The 17667-nt window shown below is 38.3% G+C and overlaps 1 annotated feature.

Annotated features, from left to right (window-relative positions):
- Positions 7942-8236: an enhancer, noted in NCBI's record as "tiled region #4301; K562 Activating DNase matched - State 5:Enh". NCBI's record gives its function as "activates a minimal TATA promoter and a strong SV40 promoter by Sharpr-MPRA in K562 cells {active_cell/tissue: K562}" and the evidence as "EXISTENCE:reporter gene assay evidence [ECO:0000049][PMID:27701403]".

Below are 17667 nucleotides of genomic sequence, written 5' to 3'. Positions count from 1 at the left end.
ACCCGCATCTCTACAAAAAACAAACAAAAAAAATAGGCATGGTGGCATGTGCCTGTTGTCTCAGCTACTTGGGAGGCTGAGGTGGGAAGATCACTTGATCTTGGGAGGTTGAGGCTACAGTGAGCCATGATTGCAACATGCAACACTGCATTCCAGCCCAGGGGACCATGAGACTATCTCAAACAAACAAACAAACAGACAAACAAAAACCCACTCCAAATGTAAAGTGAATAGTTCACATCAGGTGTACTGGAGGCTATATGAAGAGAGACAGTGATAGCAAGAGTCAACAGTCCTTATAGACTAAAGTGAGGTGGCAGTAGTAGTAGGCATTGGGGAACCACTGAAGGTTTGCTTGTTTTATTTTGTTTTAAGACAGGATCTTGCTGTGTTTCCCAGGCTGGAGTGCAGTAGCATGATCATGGCTCTTTGCATCCTTGACCTTCTGGGCTCAAGTGATCATCACACCTCAGCCTCCCAAGTAGCTGGGACTACAGGCACATACCACCACGCCTGGCTAATTTTTTTTTTTTTTTCTTAGAGATGTGGTCTTGCTATGTTGCCCAAGATGGTCTCAAACTCTTAGACTCAAATGATCCTCTCACCTGGGCCTCCGAAAGTGCTGGGATTACAGGCATGAGTCACTGCACCTGGCCTGGGAATAACAGTTTAAGGCCAGCCTCTTAAAATGAAAGTTATTGTGGCAACTTCTAAAAGATGGGTTGAAAAGAGAGGAAACTGGGGATAACATCATAAATAGATTATTATATTATCCCTGGTGAAAGAAAATGAAGGCCTGAAACAAGGCAGAGAAGGCAAAGATAAACTTGATATCTAATGGAATATGGGTAAGTAACCATATAAGTTATCAGCCAAAATGGGACATGCTTAAGAGTCAAAGAAGGCACTATTAATAATTACTCCAGCATATCAAAATACCACATTATACCCCATAAATACATACAATTTGTCAACTAAAAATAATTTTTTTTTTAATTCATGAAAAAGGGGGATAAGAAGAAGAAAAACATTCCTGCAGGACTGGTCTGGGCAGAAGAGGAGTTGTGGTAACTAGATATGAGGAGAAAGAGAGGAAGGAGGCACAGAGCAGTTGGAGCTTGCTGCCTGGAAGAATGACGGTATGATAAAGAGATGGGATGATGTGAAATAATTCACATTGTTAATTATGAAGTGTGTTTTGAATCACCTCAGTGTTACCCAGAAACGACACTCGGTTATCATGTTCAGATAGGGGACAATGTGTTTTTGCAGTGATAGCAGTGGAGGGGAAGGGTTGTCAGCTTAAGGGGCAGTTGGTCATTCTGTCATCAAATGAATTAGTAGCAAGACTTGACCAGCATTTGTGAATAATGAAGCTTTTCTTGCTGACAAACTGCTGATGTTTACATTGGGCCATTATAATAGGCAATTTAATGTCATTAATGACCTTTATATAAAAAATAACTCGTGAATGAATGAATGTAGTGAACATTAAGTACTGCTAATAGAAAAAAAAAGGGCAAGGCTTCTTTGCCAACTTGGCAGAATGATCATCAGTATTTCTGCCTGTTCTTTGCCTCAGGTACACACATATTTATTTATTTATTTATTTATTTATTTATTTATTTATTTATTTATTTTAGTTTTAGAGACAAGGTCTGACTGTGTTGCCCAGGCTGGACTTCAACTCCTCAGTACAAGTGATCCTCCTGCCTGAGCCTCCTGAATAGCTGGGACTACAGGCCTGCACCACCATACCCTGCTCTAGTTACACAAATCTTAAAATGATGCTGTTATGTTAATTCAATTAAGAAAGTAAACTAGTTCTATGATCCAAGCACATAGTTGTGACTCAATTCATGTTGTTGTTTTTAATCCTGAAATGATATTGTAAAATAAGAGCTTTGCCTTAAAGTTTTTGTTACTCAGTTTTTACATTTGAGGTAAGAAGGCAAGTGGCAGGGAAGAATGATTAGCAATAAAGCTTTTTAAAAGTTCTTCAGAAACAGTAGACAATTGGTTGAGTCAAATTGACCTATAATGACTATTCCCAGGAATTTCCTAGTTCTTATTCCTTTGGAAGGAATTGTAACTACCTTATGCCATGTAAAGAATGCTGCTATTTTACGTTTATTACAAAGATGTGCCTACAGATAAGAATCAAACTGGAGAACTTTAAAAATGTTTTAACTTTACCTGATCTTTTTCTTAGAAAGCTAACTGTAAGTAGGATATGGTGCCAAGAAAAATCATCAGCCTGATACTGTGAAAAAAAGACACCCTATTAATATGCCCACAACATTATCAGCAAGCTAAGTAACATCCCTGGACCTTAGTTTCATTATATTTTTAACTAAGTATGTATCAGAGCCCTTAACACAAGCCCAATATATTTTGGAACCTCAATAAATAGTGGTTTTGCTGATTGTCTTTTTAACAATTTCTAAAATATTGAATACTGGTTATTATAATTAAATGTATTCTAAACATCTATTCTTTCTGTCTCATGCCTTGATCTAGCCTGTTCCTTCCACCTAGAATGCCTTTTCCTTCCTTTTCTCACATAGCAATCTTTGACATATCCTTGAAGACTGAGCTCTCCCATCAGCCTGGGAGGCCTGGCCTGATCTGGAAGACGGTTCAGCACGTCTTTCTCTGTTGCCATAGTGCGGGATTTTTGTCTATTTTCAGCAGGTCGTTCCAGACTGCAAGCCTCTGGAGGGCAGTGACTCGATCCCATTCAGCTCCATATCCCCACTACCAGCATGGCATGCATTGGGGGTGTCCATACATATACAGAACAGAAACTTTCAGGGTTTGGCCAATTTTACTTTTCCTTAGCATGTATTATCATAAAGTGATGTAAGTACTATATGCCTGGATTTGTCTTATTACTACATCTATTTGTTAGTAAAAGGAGGTTACATGTTGCCTTAGTGGTTTCTTTGCACTTAAATATTTTTTAAATTATTTGGTTCTTGGCTGGGAACTTAGTCCAATATGTCTGCTAAAGTATTTCCCATTTCTTGCCACCTCTACAATAGTGCCATAATTTCCAAGTTGATTTGACATGTATCATCTTTATTCTCACAATCCTGAGAGGTATATAGAGCAAGAATTAAGTTCTACATTTAACAAAAGAGAAAACACACAGAGATTGATTGGCTCTAGGTTATATAGCTAACTGGTAACAAACCAATTTTTATTAAAATTAATTTTAAAAATTTAACTTTTAAAGTTTATCTTAAATGATGAACATCGCTTGTGTTTTTCTTGCATGTAGTTTCTATTTTAGGAGAATTTGCCTAGGGGTAGTTCTGAAACCAAGTAAAAGTAATTGGATTATGAAGGTCTTCTACCTTAAACTAGCTGTCAACTTTAAACTCAACCATTTAATAATTAAATTTAAACTTTACATTTGTTTAATTTAGTAATGTTTCTTCACATTAATCAATTTTTCAAATTAGGAAAGTAATAAATGACAAAAATGGAAGAACATTTATTAAAGATAGAAAAAATGTTTAATGGTCTTGTACATATAAATGGTGTTAATGTTTTGGCTTCATTTTAATAAAGCTTTTATTAAATAGTGTCAGAGAGAGTGGTGGTTATTTTGTAAAGAAAATGTAAAATCTTTTTTCAAATTATAAAATTACTTGCTTATTTTCATACTTGGTGAGAGCCAAATTAAAATTATTTATAGTTTAATGGGCTACTTTTCTAATATTTGCTAGATAAGAACTTCACTTGAATAAAATATGTCACATAAATTTATACAACATTTTTCACAGTGAATGTGGTTCTCAAAAATTTTATTTCTAAGTTGGAACAGAAAAAGATAAGAAATATAAATATGTATAATGAATATAAATTGATTTCTTAATACTTTCTACTCTGACTGAATATCAAAATTAATTAATATGCTCTTTGAATCCTAGAAAAAAAGCTAATAGTTTAAGTATTAGTAATGTACTAAAATTAAAATGACCTTAAAAAGGGATTCAGGTATTTCATGCTAAATTTTCCTTTGATTTTAAGTTACCAACTGATAGAGTACAAAAGTGATAACTTTCTGAATATTGTTGCTGTAAACAAGCATATATTCAGTTCCTCCTGTGTGAAAAGAAGCCAAATGTAATGATTGTGGTCTTATTCAGCGACAAAGTGCTGATGATATTATTTCCATAGACAGTACAATTCTGCAGCTGGCTCTGTCAGTCTAGGAAGAGAGCTCACTAAATAAAGACCATGAAGTAATTTGCAATTCAGGGGCAGCATTTTAAAGGAAATGAGCTGAAAGTCTACTCATTAAAGTCAAAGGAAACCTTGTGCTTTTTTTTCTTTTCAATATATTTGTTTCTTCAAAGTGTAGCTATACCAGCTTGCATAGCCCATATTGGGAATTCAGAAAAAGGTGACACTGTTAAAAATTTTACTTTACTTTTTGGAGAAGTTCCTTGGAGATAGATCTTTTGGGGTAAAAAAATTATTTGGGTGTCTGGAATTTAAACCTACGTTGCTCGTTTCATTTCAGACATATAAGAAATGAGTTTCAGAGGCATTTGTTAGTTGTCTGTTTCCTCGCAGTGTAAGACTGTCAAGCATATAAATGCAGGAGCCCCAGTGGCCTGAAAGCAGTCAAGAGTTCCTACCCTCCTTGGCTCAATGGAAACGCAAGTGAACTATACAGCGTTCAATGGACCAATCAACAGGGCAAAAATCAGTAAGTGCATGTCCAGTTTTCTGAGGACAATATTTTAGCTACAAATGATTCTTTTGATGCTGTATGTATCTCCTCACCCCATCCCCCTTAGGGAGTCCAAAATTGTGTCATTTGGCTTCTTATGTATAATAGCAAAATTTTATTTATAGCAAAATAAAAGTCAGTAGACATTTGAGTAGCTACTCTGACTTAGAAACTGCTAGCAGTCAGGGATGTAGAGAATGAAACCATGTATGTTGCCAGTTGCTTAATCTGGTGGGACAGATTTATGAACAAATAGCTTATGTGGTGTTAGAAATATATCACAGGTAAGTATTTCTGCTTCTAGTAATCAAATTCCTGACATACATACTTTTGAAATAGCCTAAAGGCCTGTAAGAAATAGGTCAGTGCCAGGGCATCTCCACTTTTTATTAGATGTCAGTAGCAAGCTTGGTTCTTCTATTAGGGTAGGTTTGTTTTCTTCTTTTCTTATTTGTGCCTACTGCTCTTTCACCTCTGTATTGTGGGACATTCCTTATCACATGCCCCCACTTGTTGCTACCCCAAGTCACTCAGGGTTTTACCAAACTTCCCTCTCCATCCTTGACCTTTCAGTGTTTATTTAGACCCTAGTAACCTACAGATTCATGCTGCCTGTGTGATTGTTCAGATGATGTCTGAAAGGTAATGTGTGTGTCAGAAAGTGAATTCATCTTCCCTACCCTCCACCTCCTGCCTCCTTCTTTCCCATTTCTCAAATTTTGGTACCACTGATCTTGGCCCTGCAAAGTAGCAACACCCTTAAATAGAGTGTTCACATATGAGTGAGATCATGTGGTAGTCCTCTTTATGTGCCTGGCTGATTTCACTTAGTGTAGTGTTCTCCAGGTTCATCTGTGTTGTTGCAAATGACAGCATTTCCTTCTTTTTTAAGGCTGAATGGTAGGGAATCCCATCTTGCACAGTGTCTCCTGAAACACCTAACTCAGCACACAGTGGATGCTCTTCCTCCCTGCCCGCATGGGGTATTGCTGCGGACTCCTCAGGTCTCCTCCATATTCCTTTCCCCATCCCCAGCAGACAGCCTTGCTTCATAATTTAAAAGATGATAAAGGCTATGCGGTGTGAACTCCTGGACTTCTCTACCATTTTATCTCCGTTTGCTCATTTTCTGGGAGTTTGTTCTCTCTAGTCACTGAGGCTGATTCAAGTCTCCTTCCATAACTATACTCTTAGTTCCATTTCCTTTTGCATTCATGCCTTGTTTTTCTCCTTCCATAACATTTTATGGAACACCTACTATATGCATGCCACTGTGCTGATGCTGGGAATGTAGTCATCATAATTAAGATGGTCAAAGTTGAGCTTCCATTGTAATGAGGAGAATCTTTTTTATTGGTTTTTCAATCTCTTCCCCTCGAGTGGTCTATGTGATCTAAGACATTTCCAACTTTTCCGCTGTATAAAAAAAATAAAATCCTAGACTCTCTTAATGTTATACCTCCTTCTTGATACTACCTGATTCTTCCCTTCCCTTTTCAACCAAGCGCCTTGAGAAAACATTATAATGTTTCTGAAACTTGAGTTCACCCAAACTATTTTTAAAGAACCTTGTTCTGTATCTTGTAACCTATACAAAAATAACTAAAAATGGAATATAGACCTAACTGTAAAACTTGAAACTATAAAAGTTCTTAAGATAACACGGAAGAAAATCTTTGTGACTTTGGGTTAGGCAAAGATTTGTTAGCTGTATAACCAAAATTTGAGCCATAAAAGAAGAAAAAAAATTAAACTTCATAAAAATTAAGTATGGTAGTCTCCTCTTATCTGTAGTTCACTATCTGTGGTTTCATTACCCGCAGTGAATACCATGGTCCAAAATTGTTACGTACAGTAAGATGTTTGAGATAGAGAGAGACCACATTCACATAACTTATAGAAGCATTTTATTATAATTGTTCTGATTTATTATTGTTAATCTCTTACTATGCCTAATTTATAAATTAAACTTGATCGTAGGTATTATATATAGGAAAAAAACATAGTATGTAAGGTTCAGTACTATCCACCATTCCAGATATCCACTGGGAGTCTTGAAATGTATTCCTCCTGGATGAGGGGGAGCTATTTTACTTCTGCTCTTTGAAAGATGTGTATAAGAAAATCAAAAGATAAGCCACACATTGGAACAAATAATACTTGCAAATCACATATGTTATAAAGAACTTATATCTAAAAATCACAAAATAACTCAATTAAAAAAATAGAACAGTGTGCTGTGGCTCACACCTGTAATCCCAACACTTTGGGAGGATGAGGTGGGCAGATTGCTTGAGTCCAGGAGTTTGAGACCAGCCTGGGCAACATGGCAAAACCCTGTCTGTACAAAAAATAGAAAAAATTAGCCGGGTATGGTGGCATGCACCTGTGGCCCCAGCTACTCAGGAGGCTAAGGTGGGAGGACTGCTTGAGCCCAGGAAGGGGAGGTTGCAGTGAGCCAAGATCGTGCCACCACACTCCAACCTGGGTGACAGACAGAGACCCTGTCTCAAAGAAAAAAAAAAGGCAAAAGATCTGAACAGACATTTCAACAAAGTAGATATACAGAGGACAAATAAGCACATGAGAAGATGCTCAACAGCATTAGTTATTAGGGAAATAATAAGTAGCTTCTCAAAAAGTTCAACCTGTGCCTATTGTATGACCCAGCCATTTCATTACTAGGTATTTACCCAAGTGAAAAAAGCCCAATCAAAGACTTGTACACAAATGTTCATAGGAGCTTTATTTACAATAGTCCACAACTGAAAAAAAAAAAAAAAAAAATGTCCCTTAGCACATGCAAGTACAAACAAATTGTGTTATGTCCCTACAATGGAATACTACTCTGCCGTAAGAAGGAACAAACTATTGATACACAAGACACATGAATATCAAAATTATTATGCTGAATGTAAGCCAGACAAAAAAGATTGCATACCGAATAATCCCATTTATATGAAATTCTAGAAAATGCCAAGTAATCTATAGTCACAGAAAGCAGATTAGTGGGAATGGGAGACCAGGGAAATATGGGAGCTGGGATTACAAAGGGGTGTGAGGAAACATTCTGGAATGATGGATATATTCATTATCTTTATAGTGATGATGGTTTCATGAGTGTTTACATATGTCAAAACTTACCACCAAATTGTATCCTTAAATATGTGCAATTTACTAGATGTCAGTTATACCTCAACAAAGATTTTTTCGTTTTTTAGAAGGCTACATAATGTGCAAGTCCATTAATGTGACATTCTTATGAAGGCAAAACTATAGAGACAGAAAACATATCAGTGGTTGCCAGGAGCCAGGGTGATAGGCAGGGTTAACCACAAAGTAGCATGGGGGACATTTTTGGGATGATGAAATCGTTTGACATTTTGATTACAGCGGTGGCCACACGACTATACATGTTTGTCGAAATTCACAGAACTGTACACTAGAGGGTACGTTTTACTATATATTAATTATACTGTAATTTTGAAAATGGAAAAATTATTCAAATAAGTCTATGAATACCAGAGTTGTTTTTACTAAATTTCCACATCCTAGTACATTGAGTAGTGCACCCTTACCTGCAAGGGTTATGTTCCAAGATCCCCAGTGGACACCTGAAACCATGGATAGTATGGAACCCATATATATTAAGCTTCTCCTAGACATACATACCTATGATGAAATTTAATTTATAAATTAAGCACAGTAAGAAATGAATAATAAAAAATAGAACAATTATAACAATTTACTACAATAAAAGTTCTGTGAATGTGGTGTCTCTCTCAATGTCTTATTGTGTATAATATTTTTGGACTTCAGTTGTCTGTCGGTCAGCAAAACTACAGATAAGGGAAGACTATCTGTATATATAAAGTCAAGTATATTTTTATTTATAAATCAGATTTATTACTGATACGTTTAAACCAAAATACGTTTACAAATTAAATTTTAAACACCACAAATTCAATACAATTCAAAGAAGCAACATTTATTTAATAAGATGGACAATGTTATTTTGCTGGATGTAAAACATTTGTGGGTACAGCTCCTTCCCCAGGACCACCTTCCTGGCCACCCCCCAATACCTGGCACCAAGTGTAGTTCTCTCAAGGCCTCTCTCCCCTCCTGGATGGTCCTTCCCTTCTCCTGGATCCTCACTGCCATCCCCTGCAAAGGTTCGCTGTCTGCTGTGTCTCAGCCACATGCATCTGTCTCCATTTTATGCTCCACACAGGTCTCCTGTTGGATACGCAGGAAAGGTAGCTTCTGCTCCTAAAAACGGAAAAGAAAGGAAAAAGGAAGCACCGTATAGGTCTGACCTCAGAATACAAAGTCTGAAAAACAAATGGGGAAGGTTACACACTTGCTGACACAATCCTTTCTCTGATGCTAAGAATGCATTTCTGTGGCAATACACAAGGACTCCTTCTATTACCTTAGCCTTGAAGGTGCCAGCTTGAGAGGGCAGAGACAGGAAAAATCCCACCCTGCCAAGCCTATGGTCCCGTTCTAGGCTCTGAACGACCTGAAGACAGGTACAGTCTCATGAATCTTTGTATCCTCAGTGCCTTGCAGTAGCTGGCATGTGTCAGCTAATCAATGAATTAATAAATTAGTAAATGAATGCATCAACCAAATTCATTCCACTGTGATGACTTGAATAAATATTCAATGATTAAATCGGTGCAACCAAAACTAAATTAATTGCTGCCCTAATTAATTTATCAGTAGGTGTGGCAGTGGCATCTGGTTCATACACCAATTCTCAGTAACACCCAATTGATGTTGTCTTTTCTAGATGTTCTGTTATCTGGAAGAGGCTCTGAGGACCAGTCTTCACATGTTTCTGTCCAGGTTATCTTACTAAAATGCTCCAGAAGTTCATATGTTTTAAAAATAAAACATCTAGACTCTGTGATCTTGGGCAAGTTGGTAAATTTGTCTGAGACTCAGTTTCTTCAGCAGTAAAATGGGGATACCAGTAGGAACAACTTCACAGAGTTGATGTGAGAGTTAAATGAGTCAATGAATGTAAAGTGCTTGGTGCAGTGCATGGCACCAAATGACAGTAAATGTTGATGACTTTTCCTCCTCCTGCTTGCACCAAGTGACAATAAATGTTGATGATTCCTCCCCCTCCCCCTCCCCCTACCTCTCCCTCTCCTCCTCCCTTTCTTCCTTCTCCTTCTCCTTCTTCTTTCTTCTTCTTACCATTATCACCACCACCACAGCCTTTGCAATTTTTTGTTTTCTATTTCCCACTAAGATGCTAGTATATCCTTGCCTACTTAGAGGAAGTGTTCTGAACTCTGACCGTCTCTTCCTTGTTTAGGAGAATTCAAAGAATTCTGTTACAATTTCACCTGGGATCTCCATAGGTGACTATTGCTTTTTTTTTTTTTTTTTTTTTTGAGACGGAGTCTCGTTCTGTCGCCCAGGCGGGAGTGCTGTGGCGCGATCTCCGCTCACTGCAAGCTCCGCCTTCCGGGTTCACGCCATTCTCCTGCCTCAGCCTCCCGAGTAGCTGGGACTACAGGCGCCCGCCACTGCGCCCGGCTAATTTTTTGTATTTTTAGTAGAGACGGGGTTTCACCGTGGTCTCGATCTCCTGACCTCGTGATCCGCCCGCCTCGGCCTCCCAAAGTGCTGGGATTACAGGCGTGAGCCACCGCGCCCGGCCGACTATTGCTTTTTATTGAAATAGAATAAATTTGAGTGACTTACCAGCTCCTGGGCACACAGATAATTGTCCTTTAGAGAAAACAACAATAACAACCTTAAGAGGAAAAATGGCACTAAATTAGAATGCGGTTTTGGTTATACAATTTCTGCAAAATTTATTATTGAGTTTCTAGTCATCAAGGTGAAAAGTGGCTTTCCAAAAGGGAGAGGGAGTAGGTGGTGGTGCTGTGAGGAGATAATAATGACCTTGCCCTTGGGCCCATCTCTGCAGGGGAGGTGGTGTAGGCTGGTGGTGATGGGTCCAGGGTTTCAGCTGGATTCAGTTTTGAATCTTCTCTTGATCTTGTTATATAATTTGGAGCAACTTACTCTGCCACCTCTCTTAGCTTCTCTTTTCTGCTTCACAACATCCACTTCATATGAGGATTAAATGAGGTCATACCAATGTGGGAAAAAGAAAATTCTCTTTAAAAACCTAATTTCAGATGATTTCATGTTAAAGGGACTCGACCAAGGAAAATGTATCCTTCTGTTTTGGGGCCATGTACTTCTAGAAGGCAAAGCCCCAGCTGCGTCTGGATGTAAGGTCAAGAGAAAGAGGGCAGTAACACTAACTGGCTCTGAGTAAGAAGGTGGGAGACTTTTACATTTTCTCTTTGAAACTCAAGAAAAGGAGTTTGGACCCTGGAACTGGAGGAAAAGGAGAGAGGAGGAAATGGCCAAAGTGATCTTTGCCAACAGGCTTGTTGGATGATGAAGTAAAGGTTGTTTTCTCTTTCACACTCTGGTTTTTTGTTACCTTTTCCCTAGTCTTCAGTGAAGCTTTACTACTTCCTTAGACTTGTATTAGCACCGCCTAGACTTGTATTAGCACGGGAAGGTCACATTCAGAGCAAGCTGAACAGAGAATCAAGTACAGAGTTTAGAGCAAGGAACAGGAGCGAGGGTGAGCGAGATCACCGGGAAAATGTAAGTTCCTCTCTGGAGCTCCTTGGAAACAGTAGAGAGAGAGCTGAGCTTCTCCTCGTTATCAATTTATTTACATTTTCTTGTCTTTGTATTTATTTGAGCCCAGATAACTGGAAGACTGGGGACAGGTGAAACATACTTCCCCACTGAGCATGTCTACTGCTACCACCTTAGTATAAGTTATCAACACTTGGCTTGGATGACTGCTATTGCCTTTTAACTAGTTTCTTTGAATCTTTTAGGTTTTTTTTTATTTTTTATACTTTAGATTCTGGGGTACATGTGCAGAACATGCAGGTTTGTTACATAGGTATACATGTGCCATGGTGGTTTGCTACACCCATCAACCCGTCACCTACATTAGGTATTTCTCTTAATGCTATCCCTCCCCAGCCCCCCACCCCCCAACAGGCCCCCATGTGTGGTGTTCCCCTCCCTGTGTCCATGTGCTCTCATTGTTCAACTCCCACTTACGAGTGAGAACATGTGGTGTTTGGTTTTCTGTTCCTGTGTTAGTTTGCTGAGAATGATGGTTTACAGCTTCATCCATGTCCCTGCAAAGGACATGAACTCATCCTTTTTTATGGCTGCATAGTATTCCATGGTGTATATGTGCCACATTTTCTTTATCCACTCTATCATTGATGGGCATTTGGGTTGGTTCCAAGTCTTTGCTATTGTGGATAGTGCCGCAATAAACATACGTGTGCATGTCTTTATAGTAGAATGATTTATAATCCACTGGGTTGGGTATATACCCAGTAATCGGATTGCTGAGTCAAGTGGCATTTCTAGTTCTAGATCCTTGAAGAATCACCACACTGTCTTCCACAATGGTTGAATTATTTTACACTCCCACCAACAGTGTAAAAGTGTTCCTGTTTCTCCGCATTCTCTCCAGCATCTGTTGTTTCCTGACTTTTTAATGATCGCCATTCTAACTGGCATGAGATAGTATCTCACTGTGGTTTTGATTTGCATTTCTCTAATAACCAGTGATGATGAGCTTTTTTTCATATGTTTGTTGGCTGCATAAATGTCTTCTTTTGAGAAGTGTCTATTTCCTTTGCCCACTTTTTGATGGGGTTGTTTTTTTCTTGTAAATTTGTTTAAGTTCTTTGTAGATTCTGGATATTAGCCCTTTGTCAGATGGATAGGTTGCAAAAGTTTTCTCCCATTCTGTAGGTTGCCTATTCACTCTAATGAACTCTCTCTTTTTTTTTTTTTTTTTTGAGACAGTCTCACTCTTTCACCCAGGCTGGAGTGCAGTGGTAAACTCTTTCTCTATTGCAATTCCCCTGCCTTGATAAATTGGCTCTATCTGGGAAGCCGGCAAGAACCCACAGGGTGTTTACATTACTATCTGTCTTCATGAAGGCAAAGGCTTTGATTTTCTTCATAAGCCCCATCATGCAGCTAGCACTTGGCTTAGTGACTAAACCCTCATAGGCACTCAACAGACATTTGAATAAACATGTCCTGGGCAGTGCTGTCCAATAGAAGTAAGATGTGTGCCACATATGTAATTTTAAATTGTTGAGTAGTTACATTCAAACGTAATAAGAAACAATAAAGTTAATTTTACTAATACATTTTAATTACCCAATATATCTAACATGTTACCACTGCAACATGTAATCAGTATAAAAATTATTGAGATATTTTACTTTTTTTGTGTTAAGTCTTCAAAATCCATCGTGTATTTTACATTCAGAGCACATCTCAATTTGTATTAGGTGCCTTGCAAGTGCTCCATAGCCTAAAGTAGCTAATGACTCCTGTACTGGACAGGGCAGGTCTGGAGCCTCCTAGTGTTCAATATATGCCAGTTGATAGATAATAGCACAATGCAAAGAATTGGAGAAAGAAAGTTTTATTCTGAAAGCTGCCGTACCCACTGGTTGATACGGTGACTATGAGACTTCATTCACCTGTTAACATCTGGAACAGCAGAAAGACCTAAAGTGCCCATGATGAATGAGTAAGGACACTGGACCAGGAGTGAGGTGAATATGCAAAAGCCTGTGTCTCCCAGAGCCCCAAAGAGACAGGAGAGCAGAGGACACCCAAAGAGCAACAGGCTTGTTGCACCAGTGGGAAGACACAGCAGGCAGCAGGCTTTGCTGAGGAGTCTGCCAACAGAGCATCTCAAAGTGCAAACCAGGCTGGGCACAGTGGCTCACTCTTGTAATCCCAGCACTTTGGGAGGCTGAGGTGGAAGGAGCACTTGAGCTCAGGAGTTCAAGACCAGCCCGGGCAACAAAGTGAAAAATCTTGTTGCTACAAAAAAATTTTAAAATTAGCCAGGTATGGTGGTATGTGTCTGTAGTCCCAGCTACTTGGGAGGCTGAGGTGGGAGGATCACTTGAGCCCAGGAGGTCAAGGCTACACTGAGCCATGATTGTGTCACTGCACTCCAGTCTGGCTGACAGAGCAAGACCCAGACACCAAAACATACCAAGGACTAAACTCTGACCATTTTTCTCTCTTGTCTAAATCCCTACCTAAGGGGTCAGAGAAGTCACACAGTACAAACAGAAAGTCTCAGAAGATGGATTTTATTTAACCCTATGTAACATGGATTACTTTCCAACTTGACTCTCATAACATCACATGACAGATGAAGAGGGAAACCAAAATGTTTTACCCCAAAAATATGTTTCATCACCATATTTAGAAATAGCTCTGTAAAGCTGTTTTTTTGGGGGGGAAATTTGCCTCTGTAAAGAATCTCCATTAACATAACTAGGTCTTTCCTCTACCAGGTCCTCCCAGTCTTGAAGAGATTAACTGAGAGTCTCGCACCTCTTAAAGGATTGAATAGGAAACATTTGCCATCTATGGTCTGAAAGGCCTGCCACCTATAGACTACTGGAAACTGCCTGCTTCACTGCATAGTAAGAACCTTGGAGCCACAACCCCTTATCTTAACCCAGACACTCCTTTCTATTGATCCCAGGTTTTTAGATAATAACTTAACTCTCAGCCAATCAGAAAATCTTTGAATCCACCTGTGACCTGTAAGTCCCCACCCTTCAAATTGTCCTGCCTTTTGGGACTTAACCAATGTATACCTCACATGTATTGATTGATGTCTTTTGTCTCCCTAAGACATATAAAACCAAGCTGCAACCCAACCACCTTGGGCACATGTTCTCAGGACCTCTTGAGACAGTGCTGTGGGCCATGGTCACTCATATTTGGCTCAAAATAAAACTCTTCAAATATTTTACAGACTTTGGCTCTTTTCACTGACAGTACTGTTCTGGGATTTGTCGTGGCAGGGTATGTGTCTTAGTCCATTTTTTACTGCTGTAACATTCTAACACAGACTGGGTAATTTACAAACAATAAAGATTTATTTCTCACAGTTCTGGAGGCTGGGAAGTCCAAGACCAAGGTGCTGGCAGGTTCAGTGTCTGGTGAGGGCCTGGTCCCTTAAGCCCTTTTATGAGGGCCCTAATCCTATCCGTGAGGGCACTGCCCTTATGACTTGATTACTTCCTGAAGGCCTCACCTCTCAACACTATCACATTGGTAATTATGTTTCAACATATGAATTTGGGGGGACATATTCAGACGCTAGCAATATGTAATGTAATTTTTTTCTTCCGATAATACTTTCTTTGGCTAATTTGTGGCTAGCATGCTTTCCATTGGGATGTTGGTACTAGCCAACTGGGCTGTCTACTGAAATGAGTTTGTCCCAGGTTTCTGGGTAGGAAACTGTCTCCTTAAAAGTGACTTTTAGGGGCCAGGCATCATGGCTCATGCTTGTAATCCCAGCAATTTGGGAGGCCAGGAGTTCAAGACCAGCCTGGTCAACGTAGCAAGACCCCATCTCTGCAAAAAATAAAAAATAAGTAAATTACCCTGGCGTGGTGGTACATGCCTCTGTCCCAGCTACTCAGGAAGCTAAGGTGGGAGGATCACTGGCCTGGGAGGTCATGGCTGCAGTGAGCTGTGATCATGCCACTGCACTCCAGCCTGGGAGACAGAGTGAGACCTTGTCTCCAAAACAAAACAAAACAAAACAATACAAAAAGTGACTTAGATGTGTGCCCCTCACTAAGTAATATTCATCATACTGATGACACAGTGCTTGGGAGAAAATCCACCGTGCATGTTTAAAACTCCGTTTTAATGCTATGAGGGTAAAATGTGTGTCGTGCAAGAAGATAAGCCACTTAATTTGGTATCCAAAGCAATAGCTGCCTCCCACCCACATTTGACTAATGTTAGTTTCATTGCTTGGTGCTGTTATCTTTTGTCGCTATGAGTTTCTGAATCAGAGAGACAAGAGGGCAGTGAATGCCACATCACCCAGCCCTCCTCTTTGCACTTAGGGAGCAGTCTGGGTGATGGATTCTGAACCATCCTGCACAGAGAGTTCCCAAAGGTGTCAGTGGGGATTTGTAAGCAGGAAGAAGTTCCTAATATTTAAGGGAGAATTCTGCCGTGCAGATCTGAGAGCCCAGCCCACAGCTCAGAGTGAACAATTTTTAACTTTTAACTTTTCCAGAACATGAAGACTTACCCTCCTAGGTTTCAAAGAATATCTACCAGTAATATTTTGCTGGAGAACCATGTCTTATAAAAGATCCAGTAATTTTGGTGAGAGATCTCCAAGGCAGGTGAGGGAGGTAAGGGGTTCATGGGGCTATTTCCCCAGCACTACTAGTAACTTAATAAAATATCAGCTGCTGTTTGACAACAAACAGAGACACACTATAAAACCACAACTGTTCCTTTCAGACTGTATTAATAGAAAAAATCTGGTAAACAAGAAAGATCAGTACAAGAATGTTCCACCAAGTAGATCCAATTTCTCAAAGGAAATGTTAATCCCTACGCATGAAAGGCTTTCACATTAAAAAAAAAAAGTGAGTCATCATTGTATCACTGATTATTTTAAGCAGTTTTATAGAGGTTAACGGGTGTCGGAGTCAAGTAAGTCATTTCTTTTTTTTCCCCTTCAAATATTTGTAAGGAGTATTACAGATATATTCTTAAAAAAAATTAAAGTATGTTTAAAGATTTCTATGTGCCCCTCTCCAATTTCATTCCACTCTTTTCACCCTAAAATAAACTATATTATGTCTTAGTTTCAAGTATGCTTTCTACTTGCTATATATGTAGCATCAATAAATGAAGTACAGAACTGCCTCTGCATACGTTAAATTTTTAAAAAATGGTAACTACTGCTAATAATTCGTGTCTTCTTATAGAAATGTCTACAAATATACAAGCATACATATCTATTTTACATGAAATAAGCTTCTATGTATCTACACCTTGTGTTGTTCTCTTACTGTATCTTAGATAACTTTTTATATTCACACAGATCTACCTCATTTGTTTTAATAGCTGTACATTTCATGTTAGAGGTACCTTAATTTGTTACCCCAACTTCCTATTGATGGGCATTTAATTGTTTACTTTCCCCTATTGCAATCATTTCTTTGTTACAAATATTGCTGAAGATGTTTCCATGTACTCATAAAAGTATATATATATATATACATATATATATATATATATATACATATATATATATATATATATATATGTATATATATGAACTAAATTACTAGAAATGGAGCTGCCAGGTCAAAGGATTTGTTCAGTTTATATTTTTAAAGACATAATTGCTCTTCAAAAAGTTTGACTGTCTATTATATTCTCGGTATTATCAAATGACTTAACATTAGACAAGCATTGGTGAAAAATGGCATTTTAATTAGCATTTCTTTAATTTTATATAAGATAAAAACTCTTTTCATTGTTTATTGGCCCTTTTATTCCCTTTGAACTGCATATTCAAAGCCTTTTCTCATTTTTAAAAAAGATTGAACCCCTTTTATAAAGACTAACGGGTGTTGGAGTCAAATGAGTCTTCCTTTTTTTTATTCTTTTTTTTTTCCTCTAAATATTTTTAAAGAATATTACAGATATATTCTTAATGAAATAAAACATTAAAATATATTTAAAGATTCATTTATGCCCCTTTTTCAAATTGCTATATAAGGGCCTTTATATATTAGGGAAATTAACTCCATTCTCCTATGAATTGCAATTATCTTTTACCACTTCATTTTCTTTTAACTTATGGCATTTTTAATGCAAAATTTATGTAGTACATTTGTCAATCTTCTTTATGATTTCTGGGTTGTATCTTATTCAAGAAAGTATCTCCTCAGGCCAAGAATATCTCCTTCTAGTACTTTCATGGTTTCATTATGTTGTACTTACATCATTATTCATCTGGG

This window comes from Homo sapiens, chromosome 2 (genome assembly GCF_000001405.40).
Source record: "Homo sapiens chromosome 2, GRCh38.p14 Primary Assembly".
Classification (NCBI taxonomy): Eukaryota; Metazoa; Chordata; class Mammalia; order Primates; family Hominidae; genus Homo; species Homo sapiens.
The sequence above is the reverse complement of the archived record's forward strand: the minus strand, read 5'-3'. Positions and strand labels throughout refer to the sequence as shown.